The sequence below is a fragment of the Homo sapiens genome, chromosome 5, assembly GCF_000001405.40.
Source record: "Homo sapiens chromosome 5, GRCh38.p14 Primary Assembly".
Classification (NCBI taxonomy): Eukaryota; Metazoa; Chordata; class Mammalia; order Primates; family Hominidae; genus Homo; species Homo sapiens.
Window position 1 is genome coordinate 83,448,342 of NC_000005.10, and position 16,296 is coordinate 83,464,637.

Here is a 16,296-nt window from a genome sequence, read left to right on the forward strand (position 1 = left end):
ATAAAGATTGACCTTTCAAATAAATGGATCTCCAAATATCACGTGATTTAAGTAAACTAAATTTGAATCCTATGGTTAATCTTTCTTCATAAAAAAAGTCTTCAGTCATTTCTGTCAAAATTGGACCTCCCAAATGGAGTTACTATGTATCTATTTCCATCCTTAAACCACACATTTGGTTCACAAATTAAGTAATTATGAGTACAAAGGGATCTTGGGAAGTGCAATCACTTTACTGGCACATGCAAGTAAAATATGGATGCTCAATTTCCATCTTAATGCATGCAAATGATAGACCCGCACTTAAGGGCTTTATAACCACCCCTGTGCACAGCCTTTTGCTTTGGCTATTAGGTTTAAGGCAATATCCTGTTACTCTGGGCATGTTGAACAATGTTTCGCATGAGAATTGCCTCCAATTCTATTTTTGTTCAAATTTCTAATTTCATTTCTAATAAAGATTAATTGTCATACTTAAGGCATTCTTTTGCCTAAGAAGGTTGAGATGTTATTGTATTTCATTTTATAATGAAACCAGTATATTTTTCTTTTTGGGTTCTATAATCCTTGTAGGACCTTGGATCCAGCATTTACTAAATGTGTGGTCTAATCTTCTTGGGACTTCCTGTCCTCGTCTGAGAAACAGGACTGTACTCGGGGTTGCAATGTACAAGGCACGAGGTCTGCACTCTGTGAAAACTGCACTGTGATAACTCTATGGTTAACTCTTTAAGGAATTCCTGGATTGTTTTCCAAAGTGGCTCCATCATTTTACATTGCTACCAAAAGTGCGTGAAGACTCTGATTTCTCCACATTCTCAACAACGCTTGTTATCATCTGACTTTTGATTTTAGCCATCCTAGTGGCTGTGAAGTTGTGCCTCATTATGGTTTTGAATTGCATTTCCCCAATAGCTAGTGATATTGAGCAACTTTTCATGTGTTTAGTAGTCATTTGTATATCTTTTTGGGAAAATGTCTTTTCAAATTTTTTGCCCATTTAAAAATGTGATTATTTATCTTTTCATTATTCAATTGTAGAGTTCCTTATATATTCTGGATACAAATCTTTATCAGATATGTAATTTTCAAAATTGTTCTTCCATTCTATGGATTGTCTTTCCACTTTCTTGAAGATGTCCTTTGAAGCACAAAAGTTTTTTATTTTGTTGAGGTTCAAATATTTATTTTTTTCTTTTATTGCTTATGATTTAGTATCATAGTTACAAAATCCATGTCATGTGTTACAGTGGCACAATGACATATTTTGAGAAACACTGGTCTAATTGTCAGATGGTCCTTGAGTTGTGCAGTTCATTCTTTTGGAATCTGATCTGGATTTATTAGAAGCTACCATCTATAGAAAGATCAGCCTAAGCCAGATCCCGGCAATGAGACATTATATTCCATTTATTCATTCATTGAGTGGCTACTGGAGCACTGCAGGTATTATGGAAATTAGAAAGAGATGCCAACTGTGGCAGATAGTGTCCCTTGGGTGCAAGTCTTGGTGGGTTTGTGTAACCAGTGGGCCCATCCTCTGGTCCACTGTAACCCTGTGCTGGGCCAATGACCTTAACTAGCAGAACTTGAGTGGGTTTTCAGGCCGTGCTCATCCCCTTGGCCAGACACATTTGTGCAGTACTCAGACTACACACACATATGTGCCCACACATGGTGGTCCTGGCCACTTTATTGGGTACTTTATTTTGTAATCTCATCAAATACTGGTGTTAATTCTGTGGTGTAGATATCATTTTGTCAATGAAGAAACTCAGTTCAATTGGTTTACTTTAGTTGAAAATGAGTAAATCATAGAGCGGAGATTCATACCCTCTATGTCTTCAGTTCTAATATTCTTTACATTATGCCACTGTCTCATATTCTGTGGGCACTCAAGTTTTGACATCTTAAAGCCTATTAAATTCCTTCAACTGAAACCCCATTAGGAACTGCCTGACATGTCAGGAACCTATTTACCACGCTGAAGTCTGCACTCAGTGTCCTACTCCTTTTGTGTTGCTTCCCTGTATCACACACCTGGCTTTTCCATTTAGGACTAGCAAGTATTAGGCAGTGTTTCTCTTCTTCTATTGCTGAACTATAGCAAGGTCTCTTTTACATCTGTGAAGTTGCCAAAATACTATGAATTGGAGGAAATCCTGAATTTGTGTAGGGGATTGCCTTATCACCAGAATGCGGGGACATTTTTATTCAAATGTGAATGTGATGGTTAATGTTAGGTGTCATTGTGACTAGATTGAGGGATGTCTAGATGGCTGGTGATGCATTGTTTCTGGGTGTGTCTGTGAGGGTGTTTACAGAGGAGATTGGCATGTGAGTCAGCAGACTGGGAGCAGGCACTATCCAATTGGGCCAGTGAGCTAGAACAAAGCAAATAAAAGAAGGGGGATATTTGGCTTGCTTAGCTTCCTTTTCCACTATCTCTTCCGGAGTGAGATGTCTTTTCTCCTCCTGCCCCTGGACATCGGACTCCAGGATCTTTGGCCTTTGGATTCTGGGACTTGCCCCAGTCACCTCCTGGGGGATCTCAGACTTTTGGCCTCAGACTGGGGACTGCACTGTCAGCTTACCTGGTTTTGAGGCTTTCAAACTTGGACAGAGCCACACTATGGTTTTTTTTTTTTTTTTCTCATCCCCCAGCTTGCAGACAGCCTATTGTGAAACTTCATCATTGTAATCAGGTTAGCCAGTTCTCCCTGATAACTCAGACACACACACCTCTCTCTCTCTCTCTTTATGTGTGTGTGTGTGTGTGTGTGTGTGTGTATTTTATTGGTTCTGTCCCTCTGGAGAGCCCTGATTCATACAGATTTGAAGCACAGGCACACAAATACACAAGGGCATAGATAGAAAGCCAAGGGGCTATGGCAGGAGAGACTAGAGGAGAGGATTTTATAATTTCTTTCTTTGTAGGGAAATCTTTTTTTGCCAAAGAGAGACATGTTGCTGCATTTTGGATAACCTGTTTTTTCTCCTTGCCAATACATTTTGCTCTGTCTTCTACCATATTTTATTCTTTTGTGGAGGAGACTGCCTCTTTTCTCTCTTTTCCTCTTGGGAGAAGTGAAAAAGATGCTCCAAGAGAATACTTCATAGATGATGAAGATGTATGTAAGAAGTGGAGCTCAGCATATCTCCTCAGGAAATGAATTTGTCAATCATCCTTGCACCTACCTGAAAAGAAGCAAAAGTATTTGAAGAGAAGTGACTGGAAGGAGAGCATGGGTAGCCTGTGCTCCCCCTGTTTGGTCAGACAAGTATCAGGATTGAAGTTTTTTTTTTTTTTTATGGGCTAAGTGACAGAGCCCTGCTCATTTCCCTGGCCGAATACATTTACGTTGTACTCGGACTGGCAGCAACTAGACTAAAGTGGCCTTGCTCTTGTCCTAAGGATGGCCTATTAGAGGAGGGGACCACAGCAGCAGGGGATATGAAGCATGTCAGCTGGCACAGAGTTAAGGAAGATAAAGGATGAAGAAGCCTGGTTGCATTTCCTAGGGCAGGAAATTGTTTAGCAGGGATGTGTCTTATGCATTTTAGGAAAGTGCGCATGTGTGTCCTCCAGGTGAACAACACTGGGCCATCTGCCACACTAGCAGCATTGGCTGTGACACTGTTATCCAGGGAAGCATCTATAATTCTAAAGTGGATTGCAGCAGCTGCCAGGTAAGTAAGATAGCCCTGTCCCTTTCATGTATCCTCACTTTGCTACTTCATAACAGAGAAGTTGAAGCCTAAGAGAGTGATATCAGCAAGATAGGAGAGAAGGAGATGCCAGCTTTTATCCCTCCAGAAAAAAACAGACAACTATTCACAAACAAAAATAGCCTTGGAAGGGATCCAGGTTTCAATTACAAACCAGCAGCAAAACAGTGGAGCAAAAACTGGAGAATAACTGCACAGAAGGGATAGCTGGAGAGACTGGCATACTTGAGACATCTGGAGATGGCTAGGTTCAAAGAATAAGAATGGGGGCTATCAGTATCAGTCAGGTAATGGATGCTACCCTTGTCCCCTGTAACCTGCTTGGCAGAGGACACCAGTAGCTTTCCCGACTAAAGTAACCTCCAGATAGGGAGATGCTGCTGAGCTCGCTACATTCCCTAAGAAGGAGTCACTGTTATGCCTATATGCTGCCTTTCTCAATCATGTGCGTACTGAAGATCCTTAAGCTGTGGCCACCCCAGCATACTTACCCTCCAGATCCTTGCTCTGTAGTCACACCACATGTTCCTTTTCCCCAGACACTGGAGCCACTACTGCTGCAAACTAGCCTCTCCCTTGGCCTCATAGCTGAGGCCACTCTGTGTGCATCTGTGCTCTGGACCATGGCTCTGCAACCTGAGAGGGTCTATACCTCAGACATGGAAGCCACTGCCCACACCTTGGGACCCCATAGTCAATGTCACTCTGCACACACCTCTCCCAGACCCTGCCTCTGTGGCTGCTCCAAGAGTACCAGCACTGTAGATACTAGAGCCATCACTACAGCAGGTGTATCTGTGCCCTGATCCCTGGAGCAGCAGTAGACCTGCACATGACCATGCTGCAAACCCCAGAGCCACTGTCACTCCACATGTACACAAGCTCCAGCCCCTGACACTGTGGCTACTCCATGAAGGTCCATATCAGACACCAGTGCCACCCTCACTATGAGCATATGTGCAAGTCGGACTTGGCACCATGAGGGATCTCCTTGGTCATGAATTCCCTTGTGGGAAAAGTAGAGATCAAAAGAATCTCAGTAGCCTTTGTCACCAAAGATTCCAACTGCCTTCACCACCACTGTGGATATCCTCAGTCGTGATCACCAAGGACTCCTGTAATCTCTGCTGATGCCAGCTCAGCTGACAGAATCACATGAAGACTATGCCTCTGCACCCTCACTGGTGCCAGAACTGTTGCACCCTATCCATCTAGCATCTTCACACCAACCTAGAGGTGAAGGTCTTTTCCCACTGAAACTAGCCCATAAAGTCTGGAAGACGTGAAAACTCCATTAAATTCATAGATATCTATGTAAGGCAAGAATAACCATGAAAAACCAAGGATATATGTAACTACCAAAGGAAGAATAATTTTCTAGTAACCAACCACAAAGAAATGCATACCTACAAATTGCCTAACAAACAATTCAAAAATATTTGTTTTAAGGAAGCTTAGTGAGCTACAAGAAAACTCTAATAGACAACTTAATGACATTAGGAAAATAATACGTGAACAGATGGGAATGATATTAGGAAAACAATACATAAACAGAAGGAGAAGTTCAATAGAGAGAAATATCATCATGAATGTAATGTATGTATGTATGAATGAATGAATGTATAGTCTTAATGACAGGGATACATTCTGAGAAATGTGTCATTAGATGATTTGGTCATTGTGCAGACATCATAGAATATACTTACACAAATCTAGATAGTATAGCCTACTACACAACTAGGTTATATGGTATAGCCTATTGCTACTAAGCTACTAAATACTGTAGGTATCTGTAACACAATGGTAGGAAATTGTGTGTCTAAACATAGAAAAGATGCAGTAAAAATATGGTTTAAAATATTTAAAATGGTACACTAGTATAGGGCAGCTCCATTATAATCTTATGAGACCACCATTTTGAAAACAATTCATCATTGACTGAAATGTTGTTATGTGGCATATGACTGTAATAAAAAAGAACTAAACATAATTCTGGAGTTGAAAAATACGATGAATGAAATGAAAAATATAATAGAGAATGTAAACAGAGGAAAGAATCTGTGAACTCAATGATAGAGCATTTAAAAATATCCAGTCAGAAAAGGAAAAAAAGAGAATGAAAAGCAATAAATAAATTCTTTATAGGACACCATAAAAAGTGCTAACTTTCACATCATAGAATTTTCAGAACTAGGAGAGGAGAGAAATGTACAGAAGCTTATTTCAAGAAATAATGGCTGAAAACTTTTCAAATCTGAGGAAAGATATATACATGAAACTCAAAAGTCTCCAATCAGGTTCAACCCAAAGAAGACTTCAGAAAGACACATTATAATCAAACTGTCAAAAATCAGAGACAGAGAGAGAATCTTGAAGACAGCAAGAGAAGTTCTCACATGCAAGTGTACCACTATGAGGCTATCAGCGTACTTCTAAGCTAAACCCTCACAGGCCAGGAGAGAGTGAAATATTATTTTCAATGCACTGAAAGAAAAAAAAAAACTGTCAGCCAAGAATACTTATATGGCAAAATTTTCTTTATAAATGAAGGATAAAGACTTGCCCAGACAAACAAAAGCTGAGTGAGCTCATTATCCCTAGATCTTCCTTACAAGAAATACTAAAGGGAATCCTTCAAGCTGAAGTGAAATGATGCAAATCATTAACATAAAAACATATGAAAGCACAAAACTCACTAATAAATGTAAGTATATAGACAAATTCAGAATATTCTAATACAGTAATGGTGATGTATACATCACTTACATTTGTAGTCTAAAGGTTAAAAGACAAAACTATTAAAATATAGCTACAATAATTTTTAATAGATACACAGTGTGAAAAGATGTAAATTTTTGACATCAAAAACAAAATGGAGGAGGAGACTAAAAGCATAATTTTTATATGCTATCAAAACTCAGTTGTTATCAGCTTAAAACAGACTGTTATAACTGTCAGATGTCACATATAAGTCTCATAGTAATCAGAAAGCAAAAACCGATAATAGATATACAAAAGATAAAGAAGTCAAAACACATCACTACAAAAAATCATCAAATCACAAAGGAAGACAGCCAAGAAAAGAACAAAGAAACAAAGAATCTACAAAATAGTCAGAAAATAATTAACAAAATGGCAATAATAAGTCCTACTATATTAATAATGATAAGGAATGTAAATTAGTGAAATTCTCCAATCAAAAGACATAGAATGGCTGAATGAATAATGGATTTTTTTTTTTGAAGAAGAAGACCCACCTATATGCTGCCTAAAATAAGCTCATTTAGCTTTAAGGACACACACAGATTGAAAGCAAAAGGATGTAAAAAATATTCCATGCAAATGGAAACTCAAAAAGAGCAGGAGTAGCTAGACTTAGGCAAAATAGACTTTCACTTCAAAAACTGCAAAGAGAGAAAAAGAAAGTCAATTCATTAAAATGATATACAATTATAAATATATATGCACCCAACAATAGAGTACCTAATATATAATGCAAATATTAATAGGTATAAAGGGAGAACTTGACAGCAATACAATGATAATAGAGGACTTTAGTATCTCACTTACAGCAAGATTGATCATCCAGACCAAAATCAGTGTGAAAACATTGGACTTTAACTACACTTTCCCTATTGATTTATTCTACGTTAATGCTGCAAATTCTAGCCAGAGCAGTTAGACAAGGCAAAACAATAAAAGATATCCAAATTTGGCAGGAAGTACAAAATTGTCTGTTTGCAGATGATATGTTCCTATACAGAGAAAACTGTAAAGAATACTATTAGGACTAATAAGCAAATTCCGTTTCAGTATACAAAATCAATACACAAAAATCAGTTGAGGCTGGGCGTGGTGGCTCACGTCTGTAATCCCAGCACCTTGGGAGGCTGAGGTGGGTGGATCACCTGAGGTCAGGAGTTTGAGACCAGCCTGGCCCACATGGTGAAACTTTATCTCTACTAAAAATACAAAAATTAGCCAGGCATGGTGGCACACACCTGTAGTCCCAGCTACTTGGGAGGCTGGGGCAGGAGAACTGCTTGAACCTGGGAGGTGGAGGTTGCAGTGAGCTGAGATTGGACCACTGCACTCCAGCCTAGGTGACAGAGTGAGATGCCATCTCAAAAAAAAAAAAAAAAAAAAAAAGTTGAATTTGTATACATTAACAACAAACTATCCAAGAAAAAAAATTAAAAGGCCAACTTTATTTGTAATTGCATCAAAAAGGATAAAATACTTACGGGGAAAATAAGTCAAGGAGATGAAAGATCTGTACAATAAAAACTATAAGACATTGAGAAAAGATACTGAAGCAGAGAAAAAACCACATAGAAAGATATCCTGTGTTTGTGGATTGAAAGAATCAATATTGTTAAGATCTTCATACTACCTAAGATGATTTATAGATTCAATATAATTCCTACCAAAATTCCAATGGTATTTTTCACACAAATAAAAAAAGCAATTCTAAAATTCATGTGGAACTATGAAAAACCCCAAACAGTGAAAGCATTTTTGAGCAAAAAGAACAAAGCTGGGGCATCAAATTTCCTGATTTTAAGTTATACTTCAAAGCTATATTAAGCAAAACAGTATGGAACTGGCATAAGAATGGACGCATAGACAAATGAAGCAGCACAGAAAGTCCAGAAATAAAATAACTAATTCAAAGAGATATCTGCACTCCCATGTACATTACAGCATTAATCACAATAGCCATGATACAGAAACAAACTGTTTCCATTGACAGACGAATGGATAAAGAAATTATGGTGTCACACACACATATGTATGTGTGTGTGTGTTTGTGTGTCTAGTAGTAGTAGTAGAATATTATTCAGCCTTGAAAAGGAAGGAAATCCTGCCAGTTGTGATAAGATGGAGGAACCTGGACAATATTATGCTAAGTTAAATAAGCCAGACACAGAAAGACAAATACTGCAGGATATCACTTATATGTGGAATCTAAAACAGTTGAACTCATAGAAGCAGAGAATAGAAGGGTGGTTGCCAGGAGTCAGGGAGTGGGAGAAATGGGGAGATGCTGATCACAGGGTACAAAATTACAGTTATAAGATGGCTAGATTTTGCAGACCTAGGTACAGCATGGTGACTGCAGTTATTTTTTTTCTTTTTTTTTTTTTACTTGACCATAGTTATTAATACTGTATTGTATACTTGACATGTGCTAAGAGAGTAGATCTTAAGTATATGGATATGTTAATTAGCTGACTGCAGCAATCATTTCACAATGTATATGTATAGCAAAACATCACATTGTACACTTTAAAATATATACAACTTTTACATGTCAATTATACCTAATTAAGCTGGAGACAAAAGAAAGAAGTAGAAGCCTAGAAAAAGCAAGAGCAGAGGTCCCAGAGCAGACTACCAAGGCCCCAGTCCCAGTCCAGTGTTGGGGAGGGAAAGGAATTGTAAAAAGCAGACTTCTCTGCCCAGTTCTTCTCCTCTGAGCCACAGGCATAGAAGCTTTGCTGGAGGGAAAACCTTAATTAGTACATGAGATTAGCATTTTACACTAAAAACAGGCATTTATTAATTAAAAGTGTTCAGATAGTTATGGAATCTATCCAAGATTCAAGAACCTTAATCTCAACAGAGGAGATATTTAACATACCAGTTTAGGCAGTGATTAGAAAGAAAGGAAATTCCCAGGATTTATTTATTTATTTATTAATTTTTTATTTATTTATTTTTTGCTTTTTTTTTTTTTTAATTATACTTTAAGTTTTAGGGTACATGTGCACATTGTGCAGGTTAGTTACATATGTATACATGTGCCATGCTGGTGCGCTGCACCCACTAACTCGTCATCTAGCATTAGGTATATCTCCCAGTGCTATCCCTCCCCCCTCCCCCCACCCCACCACAGTCCCCAGAGTGTGATATTCCCCTTCCTGTGTCCATGTGATCTCATTGTTCAATTCCCACCTATGAGTGAGAATATGCGGTGTTTGGCTTTTTGTTCTTGCGATAGTTTACTGAGAATGATGATTTCCAATTTCATCCATGTCCCTACAGAGGACATGAACTCATCATTTTTTATGGCTGCATAGTATTCCGGGGTGTATATGTGCCACATTTTCTTAATCCAGTCTATCATTGTTGGACATTTGGGTTGGTTCCAAGTCTTTGCTATTGTGAACAATGCCGCAATAAACATACGTGTGCATGTGTCTTTATAGCAGCATGATTTAGAGTCCTTTGGGTATATACCCAGTAATGGGATGGCTGGGTCAAATGGTATTTCTAGTTCTAGATCCCTGAGGAATCGCCACACTGACTTCCACAATGGTTGAACTAGTTTACAGTCCCACCAACAGTGTAAAAGTGTTCCTATTTCTCCACATCCTCTCCAGCACCTGTTGTTTCCTGACTTTTTAATGATTGCCATTCTAACTGGTGTGAGATGGTATCTCATTGTGGTTTTGATTTGCATTTCTCTGATGGCCAGTGATGATGAGCATTTTTTCATGTGTTTTTTTGGCTGCATAAATGTCTTCTTTTGAGAAGTGTCTGTTCATGTCCTTCGCCCACTTTTTGATGGGGTTGTTTGTTTTTTTCTTGTAAATTTGTTTGAGTTCATTGTAGATTCTGGATATTAGCCCTTTGTCAGATGAGTAGGTTGTGAAAATTTTCTCCCATTTTGTAGGTTGCCTGTTCACTCTGATGGTAGTTTCTTTTGCTGTGCAGAAGCTCTTTAGTTTAATTAGATCCCATTTGTCAATTTTGGCTTTTGTTGCCATTGCTTTTAGTGTTTTAGACATGAAGTCCTTGCCCATGCCTATGTCCTGAATGGTAATGCCTAGGTTTTCTTCTAGGGTTTTTATGGTTTTAGGTCGAACGTTTAAGTCTTTAATTCATCTTGAATTGATTTTTGTATAAGGTGTAAGGAAGGGATCCAGTTTCAGCTTTCTACATATGGCTAGCCAGTTTTCCCAGCACCATTTATTAAATAGGGAATCCTTTCCCCATTGCTTGTTTTTCTCAGGTTTGTCAAAGATCAGATAGCTGTAGATATGTGGCGTTATTTCTGAGGGCTCTGTTCTGTTCCATTGATCTATATCCCTGTTTTGGTACCAGTACCATGCTGTTTTGGTTTCTGTAGCCTTGCAGTATAGTTTGAAGTCAGGTAGTGTGATGCCTCCAGCTTTGTTCTTTTTGCTTAGGATTGACTTGGCGATGCAGGCTCTTTTTTGGTTCCATATGAACTTTAAAGTAGTTTTTTCCAATTCTGTGAAGAAAGGCATTGGTAGCTTGATGGGGATGGCATTGAATCTGTAAATTACCTTGGGCAGTATGGCCATTTTCACGATATTGATTTTTCCTACCCATGAGCATGGAATGTTCTTCCATTTGTTTGTATCCTCTTTTATTTCCTTGAGCAGTGGTTTGTAGTTCTCCTTGAAGAGGTCCTTCACATCCCTTGTAAGTTGGATTCCTAGGTATTTTATTCTCTTTGAAGCAATTGTGAATGGGAGTTCACTCATGATTTGGCTCTCTGTTTGTCTGTTGTTGATGTATAAGAATGCTTGTGATTTTTGTACATTGATTTTGTATCCTGAGACTTTGCTGAAGTTGCTTATCAGCTTAAGGAGATTTTGGGCTGAGACAATGGGGTTTTCTAGATATACAATCATGTCATCTGCAAACAGGAACAATTTGACTTCCTCTTTTCCTAATTGAATACCCTTCATTTCCTTCTTCTGCCTGATTGCCCGGCCAGAACTTCCAACACTATGTTGAATAGGAATGGTGAGAGAGGGCATCCCTGTCTTGTGCCAGTTTTCAAAGGGAATGCTTCCAGTTTTTGCCCATTTAGTATGATATTGGCTGTGGGTTTGTCATAGATAGCTCTTATTATTTTGAAATACATCCCATCAATACCTAATTTATTGAGAGTTTTTAGTGTGAAGGGTTGTTGAATTTTGTCAAAGGCTTTTTCTGCATCTATTGAGATAATCATGTGGTTTTTGTCTTTGGCTCTGTTTATATGCTGGATTACATTTATTGATTTGCGTACATTGAACCAGCCTTGCATCCCAGGGATGAAGCCCACTTGATCTTGGTGGATAAGCTTTTTGATGTGCTGCTGGATTCGTTTTGCCAGTATTTTATTGAGGATTTTTGCATCAATGTTCATCAAGGATATTGGTCTAAAATTCTCTTTTTTGGTTGTGTCTCTGCCTGGCTTTGGTATCAGAATGATGCTGGCCTCATAAAATGAGTTAGGGAGGATTCCCTCTTTTTCTATTGATTGGAATAGTTTCAGAAGGAATGGTACCAGTTCCTCCTTGTATCTCTGGTAGAATTCGGCTGTGAATCCATCTGGTCCTGGACTCTTTTTGGTTGGTAAGCTATTGATTATTGCCACAATTTCAGATCCTGTTATTGGTCTATTCAGAGATTCAACTTCTTCCTGGTTTAGTCTTGGGAGAGTGTATGTGTCGAGGAATGTATCCATTTCTTCTAGATTTTCTAGTTTATTTGCGTAGAGGTGTTTGTAGTATTCTCTGATGGTAGTTTGTATTTCTGTTGGATCGGTGGTGATATCCCCTTTATCATTTTTTATTGTGTCTATTTGATTCTTCTCTCTTTTTTTCTTTATTAGTCTTGCTAGCAGTCTATCAATTTTGTTGATCCTTTCAAAAAACCAGCTCCTGGATTCATTAATTTTTTGAAGGGTTTTTTGTGTCTCTATTTCCTTCAGTTCTGCTCTGATTTTAGTTATTTCTTGCCTTCTGCTAGCTTTTGAATGTGCTTGCTCTTGCTTTTCTAGTTCTTTTAATTGTGATGTTAGGTTGTCAATTTTGGATCTTTCCTGCTTTCTCTTGTGGGCATGTAGTGCTATAAATTTCCCTCTACACACTGCTTTGAATGCATCCCAGAGATTCTGGTATGTTGTGTCTTTGTTCTCGTTGGTTTCAAAGAACATCTTTATTTCTGCCTTCATTTTGTTATGTACCCAGTAGTCTTCAGGAGCAGGTTGTTCATTTTCCATGTAGTTGAGCGGTTTTGAGTGAGATTCTTAATCCTGAGTTCTAGTTTGATTGCACTGTGGTCTGAGAGATAGTTTGTTATAATTTCTGTTCTTTTACATTTGCTGAGGAGAGCTTTACTTCCAAGTATGTGGTCAGTTTTGGAATAGGTGTGGTGTGGTGCTGGAAAAAATGTATATTCTGTTGATTTGGGGTGGAGAGTTCTGTAGATGTCTATTAGGTCTGCTTGGTGCAGAGCTGAGTTCAATTCCTGGGTATCCTTGTTGACTTTCTGTCTCGTTGATCTGTCTAATGTTGTCAGTGGGGTGTTAAAGTCTCCCATTATTAATGTGTGGGAGTCTAAGTCTCTTTATAGGTCACTCAGGACTTGCTTTATGAATCTGGGTGCTCCTATATTGGGTGCATATATATTTAGGATAGTTAGCTCTTCTTGTTGAATTGATCCCTTTACCATTATGTAATGGCCTTCTTTGTCTCTTTTGATCTTTGTTGGTTTAAAGTCTGTTTTAGCAGAGACTAAGATTGCAACCCCTGCCTTTTTTTGTTTTCCATTTGCTTGGTAGATCTTCCTCCATCCATTTATTTTGAGCCTATGTGTGTCTCTGCACGTGAGATGGGTTTCCTGAATACAGCACACTGATGGGTCTTGACTCTTTATCCAATTTGCCAGTCTGTGTCTTTTAATTGGAGCATTTAGTCCATTTACATTTAAAGTTAATATTTTTATGTGTGAATTTGATCCTGTCATTATGATGTTAGCTGGTTATTTTGCTCGTTAGTTGATGCAGTTTCTTCCTAGTCTTGATGGTCTTTACATTTTGGCATGATTTTGTGGCGGCTGGTACCGGTTGTTCCTTTCCATGTTTAGCGCTTCCTTCAGGAGCTCTTTTAGGGCAGGCCTGGTGGTGACAAAATCTCTGAGCATTTGCTTGCCTGTAAAGTATTTTATTTCTCCTTCACTTATGAAGCTTAGTTTGGCTGGATATGAAATTCTGGGCGTTGAAAATTCTTTTCTTTAAGAATGTTGAATATTGGCCCCCACTCTCTTCTGGCTTGTAGGGTTTCTGCCGAGAGATCAGCTGTTAGTCTGATGGGCTTCCCTTTGAGGGTAACCCGACCTTTCTCTCTGGCTGCCCTTAACATTTTTTCCTTCATTTCAACTTTGGTGAATCTGATAATTATGTGTCTTGGAGTTGCTCTTCTCGAGGAGTATCTTTGTGGCGTTCTCTGTATTTCCTGAATCTGAACGTTGGCCTGCCTTGCTAGATTGGGGAAGTTCTCCTGGATAATATCCTGCAGAGTGTTTTCCAACTTGGTTCCATTCTCCGCATCACTTTCAGGTACACCAGTCAGACGTAGATTTGGTCTTTTCACATAGTCCCATATTTCTTGGAGGCTTTGCTCATTTCTTTTTATTCTTTTTTCTCTAAACTTCCCTTCTCGCTTCATTTCATTCATTTCATCTTCCATCGCTGATACCCTTTCTTCCAGTTGATCGCATCAGCTCCTGAGGCTTCTGCATTCTTCACGTAGTTCTCGAGCCTTGGTTTTCAGCTCCATCAGCTCCTTTAAGCACTTCTCTGTATTGGTTATTCTATACATTCTTCTACATTTTTTTCAAAGTTTTCAACTTCTTTGCCTTTGGTTTGAATGTCCTACCGTAGCTCAGAGTAATTTGATCGTCTGAAGCCTCCTTCTCTCAGCTCGTCAAAGTCATTCTCCATCCAGCTTCGTTCCGTTGCTGGTGAGGAACTGCGTTCCTTTGGAGGAGGAGAGGCGCTCTGCTTTTTAGAGTTTCCAGTTTTTCTGTTTTTTCCCCATCTTTGTGGTTTTCTCTACTTTTGGTCTTTGATGATGGTGATGTACAGATGGGTTTTTGGTGTGGATGTCCTTTCTGTTTGTTAGTTTTCCTTCTAACAGACAGGACCCTCAGCTGCAGTTCTGTTGGAATACCCTGCAGTGTGAGGTGTCAGTGTGCCCCTGCTGGGTGGTGCCTCCCAGTTAGGCTGCTCAGGGGTCAGGGGTCAGGGATCAACTTGAGGAGGCAGTCTGCCCGTTCTCAGATCTCCAGCTGCGTGCTGGGAGAACCACTGCTCTCTTCAAAGCTGTCAGACAGGGACATTTAAGTCTGCAGAGGTTACTGCTGTCTTTTTGTTTGTCTGTGCCCTGCCCCCAGAGGTGGAGCCTACAGAGGCAGGCAGGCCTCCTTGAGCTGTGGTGGGCTCCACCCAGTTCGAGCTTCCCAGCTGCTTTGTTTACCTAAGCAAGCCTGGGCAATGGCGGGCGCCCCTCCCCCAGCCTCGCTGCCGCGTTGCAGTTTGATCTCAGACTGCTGTGCTAGCAATCAGGGAGACTCCGTGGGCGTAGGACCCTCTGAGCCAGGTGTGGGATATACTCTCGTGGTGCGCCGTTTTTTAAGCCGGTCGGAAAAGCGCAGTATTCGGGTGGGAGTGACCCGATTTTCCAGGTGCGTCCGTCACCCCTTTCTTTGACTTGGAAAGGGAACTCCCTGACCCCTTGCGCTTCCCAAGTGAGGCAATGCCTCGCCCTGCTTCGGCTCGTGCACGGTGCGCGCACCCACTGACCTGCGCCCACTGTCTGGCACTCCCTAGTGAGATGAACCCGGTACCTCAGATGGAAATGCAGAAATCACCCGTCTTCTGCGTCGCTCACGCTGGGAGCTGTAGACCGGAGCTGTTCCTATTCGGCCATCTTGGCTCCGAAATTCCCAGGTTTTAATTATTAAAACTCCTTGAGTGGGATCTACAAAATAACCTGGTTTTGAGCAACCTAATTTTTTACTCAGGTCTGCTCTTTCCTACTCCCTCTCCCATGGTTTGCCAAACATCACCCATGCATCTGTTCCCAACATTGTCCTCTCCCCAGTTTTTCCATTTGCCATAGAAACTTTCAGTCTTGATTAGGTATCTCTGGGTCATCTTAGGAAACAATTTCCAATTATAATCAAATTTTTAGCTCATTCCTCAGGTTCATGCATTCTTGAAACCTCCTTCCTGACTTCTCCCCACCTGCTTCCAAAAATGCAACTGTCTATGCCACAGTGTATAGGTATTTTCTATTTCATTTACAGCCGAATGTGCTTATCCTTATGAACAGTGGCAAATTGGTCTTTTAGACCTGAGAATACGTTGTTTCAAGATATCAAATCACGTGAAGTCTATTGGTTAGGAATGTGCATGAGGACTACAGAATTAACAGTATTATTGCTTAAGACACTCTCAGAAAAATGCAACCACAGTTACCACTTGGGTTCCTAGGGCTTTACCTCCCTCAGCTGCAAAGGGAAAAGAGACTTTCGTGGTCCCTGGAACAGGGGCTCAAGAGGAGCCTGGGCTGCTGGTGGCACATGGTAAGTACCAAGAAAGGGAGCTAGGTAGGGCTAGGGCATCCTGCCTGCCTTCTACACTTTGGTTTCAGTGTTCCTTGTTTCTTCAGAAATCCTGGTGTATTGGTCCCTTTCTTCTTCCTTGAACTTTCCCCGTCATTGCTTTTTCCCCTTCTTAAGCCACTGCAGAACACA